The sequence below is a fragment of the Homo sapiens genome, chromosome 15 (assembly GCF_000001405.40).
Source record: "Homo sapiens chromosome 15, GRCh38.p14 Primary Assembly".
NCBI classification, from domain to species: Eukaryota; Metazoa; Chordata; class Mammalia; order Primates; family Hominidae; genus Homo; species Homo sapiens.
The window spans coordinates 48,742,883-48,763,618 of record NC_000015.10 but is presented as its reverse complement, the minus strand read 5'-3'; the positions used below and the strand labels follow the sequence as shown (position 1 = coordinate 48,763,618).

The window sequence follows — 20,736 nt, the reverse complement described above, 5'->3', positions numbered from 1 at the left end:
CACTGCAACCTCCACCTCCCGAGTTCAAGTGATTCTCCTGCCTCAGCCTCCTGAGTAGCTGGGATTACAGGCAAGCGCCACCACACCCAGCTAATTTTTATATTTTTAGTAGAGATGGGGTTTCGCCATGTTGGCCAGGCTGGTCTTGAACTCCTGACCTCAGGTGATCCGCCTGCCTCAGCCTCCCAAAGTGCTGGGATTACAGGCATGAGCCACTGCACCTGGCCTCAACTAGATTCTTTTATCTACAAAATGGCTATTAATTGCTATTGATCTGGTAGCCAGGGAAACAGTAGGAGAACTTCAGATACCCAGGTGGTGAACAGAAAAAGGGAAAACCAAATTGTGCAGTTTCATAGTTTTGCCTAAGACTGTGTTTAGCTCCACCTCACTGTACTGTTAAAGTGGAAAAATCATTAAGATGTTCTTCCAATAATACTGCCTCCCTTTTGAATGTAGTCTACTTAGTAAAATTTAACACTATAACAAATAAGATTCTAATGTGTTCAAGTGAGTAAAACTATTTTTTAGATTGTTCAGGTTTTGGTTCGTTAATTAGATTTACTCGGTCCTTTGTGGAGAGCATGGTGTTGATGGCAAAACACATTAACTGTAATTTTTTTTTTTTTAAATCCTGCCATCTTTGTAGTGGCAATAGGAAAGATTCCAGAAGGTTGGATATTAAGAGCAAGATATCCTGACTTTACACAACATACTTAAATCTTTCATGTGATTTTTGTCATATAGTTAAGTTCAAAGAGTAACTTTCAAGTTTTACTTGAGAGTGTATTTTAATTGACTAAATTTCTAAACCTTTTATAATTACTACAACAATATCTAGATGGTTTTCAAACACAGCTGTGGTTGCTTTTCTGGCTAGCTTTTAATTCTAGTTTTTACTTATTTGAAAATTGTTCTTCTCGTATGATTTTTCTTCTGAAAACAGATCAAAGAAAAACTCATTCAACAGCTTGAAAAGGAGTGGCAGTCTAAGCTGGATCAAACTATAAAGGCAATGAAAAAGAAGACCTTAGATTGTGGCAGCCAAACTGACCAAGTAACCACCAGTGATGTTATTTCCAAGAAAGAGATGGCAATTATGATAGAAGAGCAGAAGTGCACAATCCAGCAAAACTTAGAACAAGAGAAGGACATAGCCATCAAGGGGGCTATGAAGAAACTCGAAATTGAATTGGAACTCAAACATTGTGAAAATATTACCAAACAGGTAAAAGGCAGATTTATTCTAGTAAATTTATTGGAACTGCCTGTCTCTTAATGAAAACCCATACAATGCTATCATTGAACTCGTTCATAACTTTATACTTTTAAGATTTTGTGCATTTCTAGGATAGAAAACCTGTCATGTTCCTAAATTTTTCTTCATAATATTTCTGTCATAAAGCTGCCACCCCTCGGTTTTTCTGTATATTCTTTCGGTTTACAAAATATTTGCTCCTTTGAGATTAGTCTAAGCATTAAGATGCCCAAGGTTAAAGAGGGTGCTTTTTACATCTGAATGAATCACAGTTTAATTATTAATCTTTCATATCTAATTTTTTAGAAAATATTCCACTAAGGTGGTTATAGATAAGTAAACCTAAGCACATAAGGTATTTAACAACATTGTGTGGAGACTTGATGTGGTTGGATCTGCAGGCGTGCCCTTAAATGGAACTTTATCTATCATTCCCATCAGCTTTCCAAAAGTGGTGCCAATACCTTTCCTTTGAGGCACTCACAAAACTAGCTTTTAACTGACACAGTTACTTGATTTGAAAGAAATGTCATACTGAGAAAAGTACAGCCTATTGTGACAGAATAAAGATGAGTTATCTGTTATATCTTTCTTACCTATTACAGTGATTCTCAAAATTTTGGTCCCAGGACTCCTTTACAATTTTAAAAATTGGGGACTCTAAAGAGCTTCTGTTTGTGTGGTTTATATTTACACTATTGGAAAATCTGAGAAATTTTTAAAAAACAAAAATACCCAAGCACACATTCCACTGACTGTCAGAACAATGACATGATCACAGCATGCAGCTTTTGGAGAACTGTGCTGTTTATGCATGAGAGAACAGCAATAAAACAGATAGTGTCTTAATATTATTTTGGAAAAAGTTTTGACCTCACAGACTACCTGACAGGGTTTCTAGCCTCAAGAGTTCCTTGGACTTTGATACATCCGTTATGTAGTTATTTTAATTTTATTACTTATTATAAACTCTTAAACAAGATAGCACTCAATGTAAAGTTTTTGAAAATACACTCTACTTTTGATAAATACTTGAAATTCTGCTTATTTGTTACATTGTTCTACGTGATTTTACAGGGCACCTTTAAAGTCTGGAAATACAGGCAAATATATGTAATGGTGCCAAGGATATCTTCAGTTAGTTTACCGAAATGTTTACTGAAGGGGGTTTCAAAAGAGTTAAGAAAACGTTCCACAGACAAAAAGTTGAGTTTAAAGGTGCTGCTTTGGTATTTATGAAATTATTAATCTTAAATAGCATAATACAGCAGAAAGGAAATATTTCATAATAACTTTTTAAGTAGATAAATTTCTACAGGAGCTTTATCTTTTCCCCATTTCTTAACTCCTTGGAGTTTGTACGTAGACAGAGTTTACACATTGACATATTTAGCACTTTAACGAGAAATACAGCCTCTTATATCAACCCTGCTTTTGTGTTGTATGTACGTATATATACATATATCTGCATATCTGTGTGTATTTTAAAATAAAGGAATAAGGTAAAATTATTTAACATAATCTTCTGGTAACTAGTGGCAGATTTACAACCAGATGACCCTCATAATTAATCAAGTCTTAATTTTTTCCCTTCAGAGGTATCACCCTCATTCTTTAGTATAAACTCATTCTCGACAGTAGGAAAGTTCGCAGGTGTAGGGCTCTAAACTAGATCAGTGTATGTGTTCATGCACATGTGTAGAGCATGAGGAGTCAGGAAGGTGGTGGGTGTAGTGATTAGACAGCAGTTGGCACCAAGCAGTCCTCCAGGAGGCCTTCTCTTTCCCAGGATAAATAGGAGTTGTTAGAAATGGTAATTGGTACCTCGTATGACACTTTCTAAGATAGTACTGGTCATCAAACATTCACAGATTCCCACTTCCTCTGTTGCATTTGTATGGGATGCTATGGGAAGTTTACAACAAAAGGATTAGAATCCACTGTTTGGGATAGGTAGGGTACTTGCAGTCAGTTTGACTTTATTATGTAGTGATATACAGTATAAAATACTGAAATCATAATTGCTGTTTAAAAATGGGATCTTTTTTAAGTTTTATACTTCCCTTTACCTCTTTCTTTTGCAATGTCCTACAGGTAGAAATAGCTGTGCAAAATGCTCATCAGCGATGGCTGGGAGAACTACCAGAGCTGGCAGAGTATCAAGCACTTGTGAAGGCAGAACAGAAAAAGTGGGAAGAACAGCATGAGGTCTCTGTGAACAAAAGGGTAAGAGCTCTTCTGCAAAGACACTTCAGGAGGCTGTCTTACCTGACCCCTTCTCTTATCTCAGTCCTTGGAATTTGTACCTACTCATAGAATTGTTGAAGGATAAACATGTTGATACATGTTAAGCAATAGCTCAAAGCCTAGCAAGTGTTCTTGTCATCATCAAGTTGTTCTTAGAGAAAGAATGTATTTTCCTATGAGGATAACTTAGAAACTATTTAATAACTCCCATTCTATCTTGCCCTATCTTTAGATGAAATTGAGAACAGGTATATATTTGTTTATTATTAGCTATACAGTATCCTTTCACATGCTTAAAGATTGTTTTCTCTGTTGTGTTAGTAGTCTTGTAACATTCTTCTTGGTAAATAGCCAGTTCTCCTTTCCAGAAATGTCATGTTTCTTGACTGGAAAATACAGATATTATAACCATGTGTACTCTTCCAACTTAATTACTGGTTTAAACCAATTCTAATCAAAATGCCAACAAACTGAATGTATTTGAAGTTGACAAAATAATTCTATAAAATGTTTTTGGAAAAATAAAAGGACTAGATGTTTTTTAATGTTCTGGAAAAATTATAGTCAAGCCCTAACACATAATGGAATATATTGGAAAGCAACAACTCAGACTGTATTGAGTCACAAAAATAGAATTCATTTTAATTCAGTGCAATACAGGTTTCAGAGGTAGGCCCTACTATAAATAAAAGCTTAATAAATTGTTTTAAAACAAGGGAATGAGGAATTATTTCATAATAGTCTTATGATAGCCAGGTAACACTTTGGAAAAATTAAGTTTACCCAACGTGTATCACAATAAATTCTAGGTTAATGAAGGAGTTAAACATTTTTAAATAAAAGTGTAGAAAAATTAAAAGAAAATTGAAGATTTCAGATCTGTACCATAATAACAACTCAGTTTTGAGGCAACATATCCAATAGCAAAGATAAAGTAATAGGTTGAAATATGTTTTGTTTTTGTAGTAAAAAGTAAAGGGAATAATAAAAATAAGAAAAATGGATAACACATGATAAATTATAATCTATATTTTTTAGTATGTCTGAAATATTTTAAAAGGAAATTTAAGAGGGAGAGAGAGAAGAAACAATATGATTGTGAGGATATGTGTCTCAGAGCTCAGAAGTCAAGTAGAATAGTAAAGTTGAGTACAATGTAGAAAATAAAACAGGCCAAGAGATCTTTTCATAAGAACATAGAAGGCTGTATGTTTGTGAAAGCAGACATATAGAAATGAGAGAAAAGTGTTTTTGTTGCTTCTCAAACTTCAGCAGGCCTGAGAATCACTTGCAGGGTTTGTTAAAGCATAGCTATCTGGGCTTTCCTCCTAGAGATAATGATATAGTAGGTCTGGAGGGTGTCCTGGGAATTTGCCTTTTTTTTTTTTTTTTTTTGAGATGGAGTCTTGCTGTGTTTCCCAGGCTGGAGTGCAGTGGCACAATCTCAGCTCACTGCAACCTCTACCTCCTGGGTTCAAGCGATTCTCCTGCCTCTGCCTCCCAAGTAGCTGGGATTATAGGTGCCCGCTACCTCGCCTGGCTAATTTTTGTATTTTTAGTAGAGATGAGGTTTCACCATATTGGCCAGGCTGGTCTTGAACTCCTGATCTCAGATGATCTTGCCCACCTCGGCCTCCCAAAGTGCTGGGATTACAGGTGGGAGTCACCGCACCTGGCTGGAATTTGCATTTCTAACAGGCTCCCAGCTGGTCTTTGGACTACACTTGGATGTAAGTAGCACTATTCCAGATAATTATATCAGCCACAAAAAATAATGTCAACATGTTGTGCATCCTTCCTCCAAACCAAAAGAGGTCCAGAAAGGGCCGGTTCCATAGCATTGGCTATAGAGTTATTTTAAGATTAGAGTGATTAGTTGAGATCTGTGACAGTGTGAAGACAGTTTCTAGAATTCAGAAGTAGTTAAGTTGGTTCAGTGGTTCTCAAACTTTGCTGCACATTGGAATAACTTGAGGATCTTTAAAAAATACTGTTGCCTGGCCCCTACCCTTAAACTTTGTTTTGTATGGGCCCTGGCCTGGGCATCAGGATTTTTAAAAGCTGCTCAGGTGATTCTAATGTGCAGCAAAGTTTGGGAAGCACTGAGTTGATGAATGCTGTCAAATTCTCTTTGTAAAACTTCACATGAGAAAATGCACATTTTGGTAAGGTTGGGCAGGTTATAAAAATTCTGTGGAATCCATCACCTCTATCCGAGTCACCTGGGAATGACTTCCAGGCATCCATTGCAACATGACCTGTTTTCTCTAAAAACACTATTTAAACATGTTTCAAATCACTACTGAATTATTCTGCTGGTAGCAAAGGAATTTTGCAGTGAATTCTTTTGTAAAGCTCACCTTAGATAGTGGGTTCCTTTAGCAGAAAATTTATTTAGTAGGTACTCTATCCCATCATCCCAGCCATATATATAGTATTGATCAATGGTAACCACCATTGTCTAGGCCAAGCCTTTGGAGATGCCCAGTTCTGTCTTTTGACACTAGTGCGTCCTTGTGCCTTCTTTGAATTCAGTTAGGAATTCAGTCAGGAATATTAAAAGTGAAAGGGACTCAAGGCCATTATCTACTCTACTCCTTTATATAGGTGAAGATGTTAGTGCCAAAGAGATTAAGTGACTTTTGCAAGGCCATGCATCCAAAAGTAATAACTACATAAGATTTATTGAGTCCTTATCATCTGCCAGGCTCTGGGCTAAGTACTTTAAATGGATTATGTCCTTATGTCATTTAATCCTAAAGGATGCTATCAAATTGGCATTGTAATTATCCCCATTTTATAGATGAGGAAATTGAGGCTCAAAGAAGTTGAGGAATGGGCCTTTAGTTCTTCAGCTGGTAAGTTAATTCCAGCAGTTTGTCTCCAGATTCTGTTCTGTTAAGCATCTGTGCTAGGCTTCCTCTGCAAATTGGTGTCAGGATTGGAGCTTAGGTTTTTTGATTTCGCTATTACTTTTTAGTTATGTACTACCTGTTTTTTTCTGTGATCCACTAGTTCTATTATTCTGTCATACAAACAAATTAGACTAATGAAAAATGACTTTTTCTGTTTGGTATTGTCCTTTAATGAACTGTTCTAGCCACTAAAAGTGCATTAAAATACAGTTACACTTATCAGCAAGTAATTATGCAGGTGTGTGCTATATTCCTAAGTAATAGTAAAAAATCCTTATGAGTCCGCTTTTGCTTTAGGTAAAAGATACTTAATTTGTTGGGGGCACAGATAAAATTTGAGATTGTATCTGTATTAAGAAAAGTAATATGAAATTTTTTCTCACATTAGTTTTGGCTAATTATATAATTATATGTGTGAGTGTTTATGTGTCTATACATACATATAAACATATTTATGTATATATTTTGACCAATTTTAGTGTAAGTATAGTTTTTAGAATAATGTCTTATCTAAAATCATGTTTCCTTTTAATTTTGATTTTACATTTCCTAGCTTCAGAGGTTAACCAAAATAGTTACCTTAATTTTTTTGCGAAGGAGGAGAATCATAAAGACTTTCAAAATGCATGTTGTTATGTTCTTTAGATATCATTTGCTGTTTCTGAAGCTAAAGAGAAATGGAAGAGTGAGCTTGAAAATATGAGGAAAAATATACTTCCTGGAAAGGAATTGGAAGAGAAGATTCATTCTCTTCAGAAGGAACTTGAGTTAAAGAACGAAGAAGTCCCTGTGGTCATCAGGGCTGAGTTAGCTAAGGCTCGGAGTGAATGGAACAAAGAAAAGCAAGAAGAAATCCACAGAATCCAAGAACAAAATGAGCAAGATTACCGGCAATTTTTAGATGATCACCGAAATAAAATTAATGAGGTGCTTGCGGCAGCTAAAGAAGACTTTATGAAACAAAAAACTGAACTACTTCTTCAGAAGGAGACAGAATTACAAACTTGTCTAGACCAGAGTCGTAGAGAATGGACTATGCAGGAAGCCAAGCGGATCCAACTGGAAATCTATCAGTATGAGGAAGACATCCTGACTGTACTTGGGGTTCTTTTAAGTGATACCCAAAAGGAGCACATCAGTGATTCTGAGGACAAGCAGCTTTTGGAAATCATGTCGACTTGTTCTTCAAAATGGATGTCTGTGCAATATTTTGAAAAACTAAAGGGCTGCATACAGAAAGCATTTCAAGATACACTTCCTCTGCTTGTAGAAAACGCTGACCCAGAATGGAAAAAGGTATGTTCCTGAGAGTGAGAGAAGGTATTGAACACCAAGAATGATTATAGAAGTTGTATATAGTGTTTTTTCCTTTTTTCCTTTTAAATTTTAGTAGATGTAAGTCTTATGTTTTTGTCAGTGGTTTAAAAAAGTTTCTGTAGCGAAATCCAAAGGTTTGCATGTTTCGTTGCCAAAAAACTTTACTACTTCATAGTGTCACAAATACAAGACAAGATTTTAGCCTCTAAATATCTTTTTCCTAAAGAATATTTAGGACAAATACCTAATGCATGCGGGGCCTAAAACCTAGATGACAGGTTGATAGGTGCAGCAAACCACCATGGCACATGTATACCTATGTAGTAAACCTTCACGTTCAGCACATGTATCCCAGAACTTAAAATAAAATAAAGAATATATGCTGTTCTTTCTAAGGGCCTGAGATTTCAGAAACTGAAAATTTTTTTTTCAAAATTCTGTTTTCTGGGCCTGACCACTTCATGAAATATGCATAATAAGAGTTTCTTAAAAGCTTGTAAAGAGTTTGGAAGCCTATTTATTGCCCTCAATAAATTTATGTCTCATTTAGGCAAAAAAATGCCAACCAAGTACAAAGGTATTGATATAGAAACAAGCAAATAAATACGACTCACTCGCATAAAACTCTGAAGCCCAGTTTCTGGATGTACTATATATGTGCATATAGAATTAATTATATTCTTTTAGTTATATAAGTACTCTCTGAGACCAGCTTTTAATTTGTATGAAAGTTTCAGTAAAACCAAATTCTTGCTACCTTATGATCAAAGCAATTAGGTATGCATGAAAGATCCAGAATGATATTCTGAGCATGGTGATTAGCCAATTTCAACATTTGGGATTAGAGGCAGGAAAAAAAAAAAAGCCAGTATTATAAGGTTTGTCTAATAGAGTTGAGACTTAAGAGTGAAGTTCCATCAAAATATTGTGATTAAGGAGTTTCAAGGCCAGGATTGAGCATTTGGTATTAATACCTACTTGGGAGAGTTATAAACTAGAAAAAATAACCTTGAGTTTCAGTTCCATATTCGATGATAACTAGATTATTATATTGGGCAATCACATAGTTGCTCACTGGAAAAATAAAATACAAATCCCCGGCCTAATTCCTTGGGTTTGGGTAGGATATGCATGGCACAGCTTAGCCTTTCTGGGTCCTGCATTTGAAACAGTATAGAATTTTAGAGCCAGAAGGGACCTGAAAGATCAGCTCACTCCATCCTACTTCACCCCAGTTGATATTTTTATCCTTGACCTCACAAAGATGTTGCTACCGAGTAGTTGCCTTCAATGTAAAATTTACTGGGCAAGATCACTTCCCATGAATACTGCTTCACACTTAATTGAGATTTTTTGGAGAAAATAATTAAAATAACTTGGAGAAAACATATAATTAAAAAATTATAGCAGATTTGGAGATGAGAAATGATGGGAAAATCATGTTTACATGCTTTCGTTTGTAAGCATGTTTCGATTTTTATAACAGTTATAAAATCTGTTATAAAAATCAAGAAACTATGACACCTTTCTCCTACCATTAATATATACATATAAAATCAACCCTGGAGTCTTTTTACAGGGCTTATAATTGTGCAAGCAGTATAAGATCATCTGTGTGACTTAATGAGGCTCATAAGTCTATGGAGACAGAATCACATAATCTGGCTAAGAATTTAGATGTTTACGGCTTTTGTTGGGTGGGTCAGATTCCATTCCTGAGAAAAGGATGGCTTTGAAATGCCTAATCTGGAATTTGTCATAGAAGTAATACTTGACCTTCTGCCATTTTCGAGCTATCTTCACTCAGGACCTTGAGGTAAAGCTATGATTATAGAGCAGTGATTTTAAATTTGTTACATAGGTGCTGTAAATGTGAGGAACTATAATTTATAATTTATTAACTCTCTAGTTTTAAAAATTGTTCATGGAAATTAAAACAAAAGATGGTTTATTAATATATAAAAACAAGTCCTCATTAAAATAACTGAGACAATCAAAAGTTTTTTTAAATGGAGAGGATGCAATGAATGAAAAATATAGCTTTCAAGAAAATGAATGCCATATCAAAATATATTAATACAGTAGTTCATAACAGATAAAACAAATATCAAATGGAACAAAATTTTCAAGCAAACTTAAGGATGTATGTTGTCTCTTTTACCATCAAAGTCAAGTTAAAACTGAGACAAAAAGGTTGTTGCTTTTCTCCCTTTTCTGTTATCTTGACTTTTCTTCCCCAGTTTTGAGTAAAAACTGGAAGCACTGACTGCATTTTGGTTCAGCTTTTCCTACTCCTTTTGACCTCAAACCCATAGCTTCTTGATTGCCTCTTCTCTATAATTGCTAACCTCTGCTTCTGTTGGACATTGTAAGTAGGTTTTCTGACAGTCAATTAAGTGGTTTCTCATAATCAAAATCAAGGCTTCTAGAATCAGGCATATATAGTATGTTTTAAATAATCAGTAAGACTACTTTCTCCATACCACCTATTCTGTTCCTTTCCGATTTAGTAGTCATCTTAAATCTGAAAACATTACCATAAAAATCCATTGATTTGGCTGAGCGTGGTGGCTCACACCTGTAATCCCAGTACTTTGGGAGGCCAAAGCAGGCGGATCACGAGGGTTGAGGCAGGAGAATCGCTTGAACTGGGAGGTGGAGGTTGCAGTGAGCTGAGATCGCGCCAATGCCCTTCAGCCTGGCCGATAGAGGAGGACTCCATCTCAAAACAAAAACCAAAAATGAAAAATCCATTGATTTAGTAGCTGTATTGCTGTGACAAGGACTGGAACATAAAAACGTTCAATAAATATTAGTGAAGAAATGGTCTTGTGCAAGATGTTTAATTTAGCTAAGCCTCAGTTTCTGTCCTTAACTTTGGCATTCAGCTGGCCTTCCTTACAAAATTACTGTGTATGTTAAAGTATTTAGAAGCATATGAAGTACTATATAAATTTAAAATGATTTTTAACTGTTATTTTCAATTCATAGGAGGCAGAGGGTTAGCATTATACTTGCTAATTAACTTGTTCCTTGCTGTAGTAAAAATGTTCTAGATTTTCAAGAACAATTCTGATTTTATATTGTCTTTCATGTGGTTTAATCACGTAAACCATTGAAAAATCTCAAATTCACATATATAATGTGCAAACCATATCTTCTGTCTGTCTCATAGCTGCCCACCAGTCGCCTGTCAGACAGTGTTCTTATTTGGAAAGTTTCATAGGAAGCTAGTTCCTAGTACAGTGACAGTACTTATATAACACCCTAAGAAAAATATTGGCGATAGATAGTTCAGGCAAGATTTTTTTCAGGTAGTGTTTTCTCTTTGTATTTTTAATATTAGCATTTTAAATATAAAATTGTATAAAGATTTTTACTAAGCATTAACTTTGAAGATACTTTATTTCAGAGAAATATGGCCGAGCTCTCTAAGGATTCTGCCAGCCAGGGCACTGGCCAAGGAGACCCTGGACCTGCTGCTGGACACCATGCTCAGCCCTTGGCCTTACAAGCAACAGAAGCAGAAGCTGGTAATTGGATTTTGTTCCCACCAGTCTTTGTAGCATCCATAATCACCCATCTGAAGGGTTGCTTTGAGGATAAAAGGAGATCATAGATGTGAACAAATGGGTAATAATCGTCTGACTTAATGTCCCCTCTTCCTAGATTTCATTTTGTATTTAGATAAGAGGGTTAATTTAGGCCCTCTTCTTCTATTTATGGTTTTCCCTTCATTCACAACTGATTCTTGTTACAAGGAGAATCATGAGAGTTTTAATGGAGAAGTCATGTTTTTATTCCCTGAAATCAAGGGTTTCACATCAGAGAATTGCCAAGTAATACAGACTTTTTCATTCAAATTACTGAAACTAATTTCAATCACTTTTTAATGGAAATCTTTCTGAAATGTATTAGATGTTTTCTAATTGATTTGTGAGTTTTTCTGAGGGCCTGGGCAGTGTTTTTAATCTCTTCCTTTCCAACGTATGGCAGAGTGATGAATTAATAGTTTAACTTTTCCTTAATGACTTAGACTCTTCATCATGACAAAAGAATTCTTATACTGTACTAGAGCCGCTTGTATTCAGAGCTTACTGAGGAGTATAGGACTTATATTGCCTATTCATGGAGATTTCAGAGCTAGAAATTTGCAAATCCTTTATTAGCTCCCATCTCTTTTAGCTTCTTGACCCTTTGCAGCCTACTCCTTTCCTCCCCACACAAACGCAACAGCCTCTCTCTGCTGCTTATTTGCTGTTTCTAATGTAACCTGGAAAAGAACTAATAATTGCCAAGGCCAGTCATACCTACTAAGTAAATAACCTCAGTTTGCACACATTTCTAATTCAGAAGGCAATGTTACCAGAATCTTAGAGAATCTCTGCCTATACCATCTCTGCCTTTCTCATTGTTCACAAACCCTTTTCCCCTACTTCTAGGTTCTAGGTGGCTGAGAATATCTTACTGCCAATTCAGTGGATGATAATATTACCTTAATTTGTATTTTGCATTGTACTTTTTATGCCCTGTTTGGAATAGCCTGAGAATTCTATCTTAATCTGTGAAATGAATGGGTAGAAACAAGTTTTGGATGTTACTTAGCTTTAGGAAGTCCTATAAATATAAAAGCAATTAGTTTTGGCCAAAGAAAAATCAGACTATAAAAATATTTTTCTTTAGTCTTTTTTCCCTTAAAAACAAACACATTAATAAATTCATTAGAAAGGATTAAATAATACAAAACATGTATTAAGTGATAAAGTCCTTTAAAATCCTACCACCAGAGAGTACCACTGTTGGATGTTTGGTTATGTTGTCCTAATATCTCATTATTATTTGAAGTACTTAAAACATTAATTATGAAATACTTAGTTCATTCAAAGAATATATGTATGCATCTGTAAGTTATGAAGCCTAGCAACCAGGAACCCATTATTCAGCTTAAGGTACAGAACATCACCAGTGCTGTTGACCACAGTTCTATGCCTGCAACCTCTCCCCAGTCTGAGCTAACAAATATTCTGATTTTCAAAAATTACTGTCTTTTTTAATGTTTTAATTATGTGTATGTACCCTCAAAAAGTTGTTGCCTTTTTGTGTTTTAACATTATAAAAATAGTTTAATACTCTATATTCTTTGTAACTTGCTTTTTTCCTGTTTAACAGCATGCTACTAAGATTTGTCTGTGTTGATGCAATAGCTCTAGTTCATTCATTTTCATTGCTACATAGTATTTCAGTGTATGAATATACTATGAGTTATCTGTTCTCTTGTTAGTGGTATTTGCACGAGTTCCAATTTTACAACAGTATCCTAGATGAAAAATATAAATGCAATTTATGGTACCATTGTGATGTTTCATTAATCCTTTAATGTTCATTAACATAAATGGCACCACTTAAATCAAACTAAAATGTCAGGAGAGAGCTAAGAATAATTTTGCTGGATCAATGACTTTACAGTAACATTTTGGCCCCTGAGCCTGTGCTAACTTGTATTCCTGCTTTATTATATCACTTATGTTAATAGTCTACTTTTTAATCATTTTTGTATATTTTAATTTTATAAATTTTATGTATTACTAATGACAATGTCTGTTATTTATTGTGTACTTGCTCTGTGCCAGCTACTGTGCCAAACAGTTCTTATATATTTACGTCTTCTAAAAGTTTTAAATCATTTTTTAAACTTGGAAATAATTTCAAACATATAGAAAAATAGCAAAAAGAAAAATAGTTGCGAAGAACATTCACATACCCTTTAATGAGATACACCTATTATTAACATTTTACTCCATTTTGTGCTCTTATGTATATATGTGTATGTGAATATTTCATTTTTTTATGAACCATTGGAGGGTAAGTTATATATACATTGTGACTTTTATGGCTAAGTACTTCAGACTGTATTTTCCAGGAATATGAATATTTTCTTGTTTAACCTTAGTACAGTAAATTTAACATTAAAGTATTGTATTAATCTACTGTTGTATTCTAATTTTGTCAATTGACCCAATAATGTCTTATAGCATTTTTTTTTTCTCTTCCAGTACAGACGTTTGTCTAGGGTCAGCTGTTACATTTAGTTGTAATGTATCTTTAGCCTCCTTTAATCTAGAACATTTCCACAGCCTCTCTTTGTCTTTCATGACATTGACATTTTTGAGAAATATTCTCTGCTTCCACCTTCATTTTTTTTTAACAGAACTTTTCTCATTTGGGGTTTGTCTGGTGTTTCTTCATGGTTGATTCAGGTTGTGTTTTCTCAGCTGGAGCACTGCAAGGGGTGATATGTTGTTACATCTAAAAATTGTGGTGTCCATATGTCTTATTGGTGAGGTTACTTTTCATTACCTAGTGAATATGTTGTCTAATTTCTTCACTATATAATTACTGTTTTTTTTTCACCCTTGCTTATCAGTTGATAAGCAATCTGTGGGAGACACTTTTTAAGACCATGCAAATATCTTCCTCTCATGAAAACCTTCTCTTATATTTGGCAACCGTTGATGATTCTTGCTTGATCCAGTCTTTACTATGGTGGTTGTGAAATTATAATTCTTCCAACTTCCTCCCTCTATTTATCCCAGTTGGCACTAAGCATGTTGAATCAAGAATCCTTTCCTCTCATTTGTGTATTTATTTTATCTCTCTGTCCATCGATCCATCTACCTACCTACTTACCAACCCACTTACCTACCTACCATTCATAAAATTATTGGTATGACTCATAAATTCCTATTTTTAATACTTTATAATTCATTACTATATTTCATTAGTGCTCAAATTGTCCCAGATTCAGCTAGTGGAGCTCCTTCAAACTGGCTCCTATGTCCTTGTGACATGCCTGTATTTTTGAGTACTTTCTTACTTTCTGGCATAGGAAGATATTTCAGTCTTATTTTGTATATACCCTCCCCAGTACTGGAGTCAGCCATTTCTTGAAGATCCTTGACTCCCTTTAGTAGGGAATGGTATTCAATACCAAGATCCAGAGCAATAGGTTTCATGACTATTTTTAAAGTAGATGGTAGTATCCAGTAGTGCCTTAGACAAGTTAATTAATATGCTCCAAGTCACACAGCCAGTAAGCAGCAGAAACAATATGTAAACCCATGTCTCTCTATCTTAAGCATCACACTCTTTCAGTCGTGCTGTAGCCTTTAGTCATGAGTCATCTGCTTTTCTTTCTGTCTTTTTTTTTTTTTTTTAATGATAGTTCTTGGTCTAAACTGATATAAAAGTTTTCTGTCATTTAATTTTTGCAGATAAGAAAAAGGTCCTTGAAATTAAGGATTTATGCTGTGGACACTGCTTCCAAGAACTTGAAAAGGCAAAGCAGGAATGTCAAGATCTGAAAGGAAAACTGGAGAAATGCTGTAGGCATCTTCAGCATTTAGAAAGGAAGCACAAAGCTGTAGTGGAAAAAATTGGAGGTTAGCATTTAAAGTAGCACTGCTACCAATATGAATTTCTTTGATCCTTGTTGAAATGTTCAAATGTGACATTTTAGTTAATGTGTGCACTGATCCTCTTTTGGGATTAATATAAACTAATTTGGATCTTATTTTTACTAATCAAATTATTATTACAAAACTCAAAAGAGGAAGATTTCAGCTCTGATTAAAAGGTCACATTCCTTTCTTCCTTTCTTGATTAAACAGATATTGAGGGCCCAGTATACGTCAAGCAGGCTTCTAAGCACTGGGGATGCAGCAGTGAATAAATCATACAAAATTCCAGTTCTGGTGGAGATGTGTTCCCTTCCTTCAAGAAGCTTTTGGTTAAGTGAGGAGATCTAACAACAGATTAACAAATAATTAAACGTTGAATGCTGTTGGCAGTGTTTTCCTCAGAAAGAGGATTGTTAATTCTACCTCTTATTAAAGTTAAGAAAGGTTTGACTAAGCCTTGAAAAATAGAGGTGTTTGCCAAGGAGAACAACGTTTGAGATAGAGGGAAAAGGCATAAACAAGGGCGTGAGGGTCTGGACTGGCCTCCTTCTAGTCCATTCATCACAATGCTGTGAGACATTTGGAAAGGGATATTTTCTACCATTTCCCAGTGCCCCTCTGAAGAAGGGAAGTTTTGGGGCTTAGATCGCTGCTCCCTCTTCTTACCTTTCACTATCGCTTATAGCCTATACGCTATACTCTACATTTGAAATGCTTCCGATTCCTGAGCTGGTCCTATTTCTTTTACTGCTGGACCTTCATTGCATATGATGTTTGTATTCTGTCCTGTACTTTTCCCCAACATTCTTTTTAGTCTTACTCTCATCCTTTAGGATTCAACTCAGAAGATGCTTTATCTGCAAAGCCCTTCTTGATTTTCCCTAGTCAGGGTGAAGTGGGCTGCTCTTGTGCGGCCCTGTAGCATTGGCTCTTCCTCTATTATCACCATTACCATTCTGTATTGTAATTGTTTGGTCACTTGTCAGATACCTTCTCCAAATTCTCCAAGAATTTTCTGAGGAGAAGGAATATGCCATATCTTGTTCATCCTAATAGCCATGGTGCCCACCACATACCAGATAATAAATATTTAAATGGACAAAAAACAAAATGCCAGGGTCCTAAATAATGGTGTCATTCAGAAAAGACCAGGTTAATAAGTTTATTTTGTACATCCACTTCTTTCTCTTGCCTGGACACTGGCAATAATTCCCTGACTCTTTATGCTTCTAGTCTAGCCCCTCTAATCCATTCTCCATAGGGTAGCTGGAGCAACCTTTTTAAAAAGTGAATTGAAACATGACACTCTTGTTTAAAGCTCTTCAGTGGCTTGCCATGGCCTTCAGTATAAAACCAAAAACACTTAGTTTAACGGGGTTTGAAAAGTTCTTGATCCAGCACCTGCCAGCCCCTTCAACCTTGTCTTCCCCCAGCTCTCTTAATTTCTCTCAGTAGAGCCATAGCATGGATTTCATTGTTTTCTCCCTTCACCAAAACATCCTGATCTCATTTGGCTGGCTAACTCCTTCTCATCTTTTCCCCAATACATTACTTCCTCAGGGAGGCTTTCCTAACCACTGCAGACCTGTTTAGTCCTCCTGTTATACACTCCCCATAGTTCCTATGCTTTTTATAACATTCACCATCCTTGTAATCATTTGCTGTCTGTACTTCCCTTTGGAGTGTAGTCTTTATAGCAATAAGGATCAAGTCCTGTTCCAGCACTTAGCACACCTGGCACCATAGCACAACTCGGGAAATACTGCTAAAAGAAGCCACCTGTAACTACCACTGACTGCTTATTACTAAGGCACTTATTACTCTTAGTACTTATTACTAAGAGATAGATAATAATTACTTTAAGACCAGAAAGGGTTTTAAGAATTTTGAGATTAAAAATTTAACAACTGCAATTCATTTTGTGATTACTTAGCTCTTTAGTAGAGGCCAGGAGAGTAAATGAGTTATTTGTCCAACTGTAGTATATTTAAAACATAGATATGTTAAAATATGATGAAAACCAAGACAATTTGTTTTACAGAATATGGCGATAAGGGCAGTTGGATATGACTATTATTTATAAATAATAATATTTAGCACCATACTATTCTACACAGTGTTTTTTGAAGCTGATATCTTCTAAAACTCGTAGACTTGCAAATAATCGAAGAAAGTTGATATATCACTCAAAACAATGAGTTGATACAAAGGGTCTGGGTCAGAATTTAAGTCAATAGTTTAATTGAAATTTTTTCTTAATATAACTTTAGTAGGTTATTATATCTTTGCTATTGAGATTGCTTCTTTGTTTCTTAAATTCTATTTTTCCACTTTCTTGGTAGCGTTTATTAAAAAATAGATGGGGTGGGAGTGAGTTGTTTAAAACAAAAAGTTATATCCATCACCAGGGGGAATAGAGTAATTTTGTTCCTCAACTTACGGAGTGTTGAGAGGGTAGCATCACAGGAAACACGAGATGCCATGTTCACATTTATATTGGTATTTCCAGGCCTTGTGTAGGTGTTGTGCATTTGTTGTTTTATTTCTATTATAATCTGTAAGTTAACATGTGAAGAAAAGTTCAGAAAGGTTAATTTTTCCTAGGCTTATCAACCTTGTAAGCAGCAAAGTTAGAATGTAAACTGATGTCTCTGACTCTGAAATTCATGTGTTTTCCTTCATACCACATGGACTCTTATCAGTTTCCTCATCCTCTTTTTAAAAGTTCAAAGAATTGTAATCTCCCCACCCTTAAGAAGGTTCTTTGTAACTCTCCCCACCCTTGAGAATGTACTTTGTGAGATCCACCCCCTGCCCCCAAAACATTGCTCTTAACTCCACCGCCTATCCCAAAACCTGTAAGAACTAATGATAATCCCATCACCCTTTGCTGACTCTCTTTTCGGACTCAGCCCGCCTGCACACAGGTGAAATAAACAGCCTTGTTGCTCACACACACACACACACACACAAAGTTCAAAGAATTGAAAATCTTACATTATTTCTGAAAAAGACACCTACTTAAGGTTAACTTTCTTTTTGTTTTATATCGAGGTGCATGTTCAATGATCGTTTATATGAGCATAAACTGTCTACCAGGATCCATAGGGAACATGGAATTAGAAAACCTAGTAGGTTTCTACAGAGCTTCAGCACAGTTGGAAAACAAAACACAGGCATCTGAAACAGTTGAAACCCAATTCCAGGACAGTGTGTAACCCAAAGCAAGAAGAAGATGGGATACAGATTTTAAGTGCTGAGAAAACAGAGCAAGGGAATGGTCTGAGTAGGGTTTCTAAGGGGATGAACGTTACAGAAAAGCGACTGGAAATTGCACAGTCTCTTCTATAAACATTTGTATTGGGAACTTAAGGGAAAAGAAGGCTTAAAAAATTTTTAACTGTCTAATATACTATAAACTTTCTGTTATAGAAGAGAATAATAAAGTTGTTGAAGAATTAATAGAAGAAAACAACGACATGAAGAATAAATTGGAAGAATTGCAAACACTTTGTAAAACACCACCAAGGTATACTTTTACTATTTTAAAGTGCTATTTTAAAGAAATCTAAGTACAAGTATCTTTAAATTTTTTTAAGTATCAATTTTTTTTGTTATACAGCAAAAAGTATAAAAAAGAAGAAAATCCCCCAAAACCTTATTTCCTGAAGATACCCTCTAGTGACCTCTTGTTTTATATCATTTAAGCCTCTTTCTACACATACTCCACATGCACAATGTGTTTTTAAAATTGAGGCTATAGTATAAGGTATTTTATAACTTTTTATTAATATTACTAGATAAGCATTTCTCCATGTTATTAGATATTCTCCTACATATGTTTTTCAATACCTGCATAAATTTTCATGTGGATTTACTGTTATTTATTGAAGCAACCATAACATTTATGTTGTTTCCATTTTTCCCCTATTTTAAATAACTGTATAGTGGAGATTGTTCTAGATGAGATTTTTAGCACTTCTCAGTTAACTTTATTAGAGTATATGGATACATATATATTTTTCAAATGAAATTTTTCACTTACCATTTCTGTTTTTGTAATCTTTGGTTTGTTTTTTAGGTCATTGTCAGCAGGGGCCATTGAAAATGCTTGCCTGCCATGCAGTGGGGGAGCCTTGGAAGAACTTCGTGGGCAGTACATTAAAGCTGTAAAAAAAATTAAATGTAAGTTTAATTCTGAAGATTTTAAGGATGGCTTGGGCCTTTTTTATTATCACTGTTAAAGTAAACTCAGAGTTTACCAGCAGTAGTTCTTCTAGGGAATTTTCCAAATTACCTTTTTCTTCAATCTTAAAAGAGATTATTGATACCTTTTCAAAATTATGTAGTCATTGATCATTTTTCCCAAATAATATCTTTTGGAAGTGATGTGAGAATCGTCTTATGTTTATATTGTTGATTTTCTTGTTTCTTTTTGGACACTAGTATTAAACTGAAAAGTTAATAATCTTACAACTTAACTAATTTGTAGTAAAGAAAATGTCACATGGGTTTTAAATGAGCAATTAACTATTACTTCCTACCATAAACTTTTTTTTTTTGAGACGGAATCTCACTCTGTCAACCAGGCTGGAATGCAGTGGTGCAGTCTCGGCTCACTGCAACCTCCGCCTCCTGGATTCAAGCAATTCTCCAGCCTCAGCCTCCTGAGTAGCTGGGATTACAGACATGCATCACCACACCCAGCTAATTTTTGTATTTTTAGTAGAGACAGGGTTTCACCGTGTTGGCCAGGCTGATCTCGAACTCCTGACCTCAGGTGATCCACCCGCTTCGGCCTCGCAAAGTGCTGGGATTACGGGCGTGAGCCACTGTGCCCGGCCTCCTACCATAAACTTTTAAGGACTGTAGAAGTGGATCTAGTTAGCAATTGTTCTGTTGTTTCTGGTTATTATTTCTCATAGCTATAAATTTATCAAGTCCTTGTCAGTACCAGGTTGTGCCAGCATATCCTGTAGAGCATTCTCCTGATGTGTGTTTTCCCTGTTTTGAATACTTCTTGGTTTCTAATTCTAATATGCATAGAATGGATATATGTCCCAAAACAATAAGTAGTGTTTATATAGGAAAAATGTATATTAACTTCCTAAAATTACATTTCTTTTTAACAAAAAGAGCAGGAAAAGTCTGAAGTTTCAAATATAATTGGTAGATTCAGAATCACGTGTAGATGTTCTACAAAGCTCATTCGGTATTTATAAGGGAATTTGCTTCTCCGTTGTTACTGGTGCTAATAAAGGGCATATTGCTACAAGCAACGCAACTTTTTGTTAATAATGTATTAATTGGGAAGTGGAATTTTAAGCATGTTTTCATCCTAATGTGATAACTTGTATGTATGTGTGTATATTATGTTTTAGTTATTTTTTAGAAAGTTGGTTGGAGGTTTTGTTTTGACATGTACTGCATTTCATTTTCCATTTCAAATAATGAAAAACAGTCTCCCAGTTAGTATTTTTGCATAGAACCACTAATTTTCAGATGCTTACTGACATTAACAGGAAGATTCCTGTATGAATTG

The 20,736-nt window shown here is 35.2% G+C and overlaps 1 protein-coding gene across 14 annotated transcripts in view; it reads left to right on the top strand.

Moving 5' to 3' along the window:
- Positions 1–20,736, top strand: part of CEP152 (centrosomal protein 152) — an 81,987-nt gene that overhangs the window by 47,451 nt on the left and 13,800 nt on the right. For 10 of the 14 annotated variants that reach the window (XR_931769.4, XM_047432252.1, XM_011521374.4 and 7 more), the window contains 7 exons: positions 947–1,228; positions 3,353–3,484; positions 7,066–7,716; positions 11,150–11,270; positions 15,009–15,176; positions 18,627–18,723; positions 19,276–19,379. Coding sequence is in view for 13 of the 14 variants with exons in the window: in XM_047432252.1 (XP_047288208.1) it covers positions 947–1,228; positions 3,353–3,484; positions 7,066–7,716; positions 11,150–11,270; positions 15,009–15,176; positions 18,627–18,723; positions 19,276–19,379 (1,555 nt within the window). In the remaining variant the exon portion in view is untranslated. The remainder of the gene's footprint in view (positions 1–946; positions 1,229–3,352; positions 3,485–7,065; positions 7,717–11,149; positions 11,271–15,008; positions 15,177–18,626; positions 18,724–19,275; positions 19,380–20,736) is intronic. The other 4 variants (XM_047432254.1, XM_047432253.1, XM_024449875.2 and 1 more) reach the window with 1 other exon arrangement.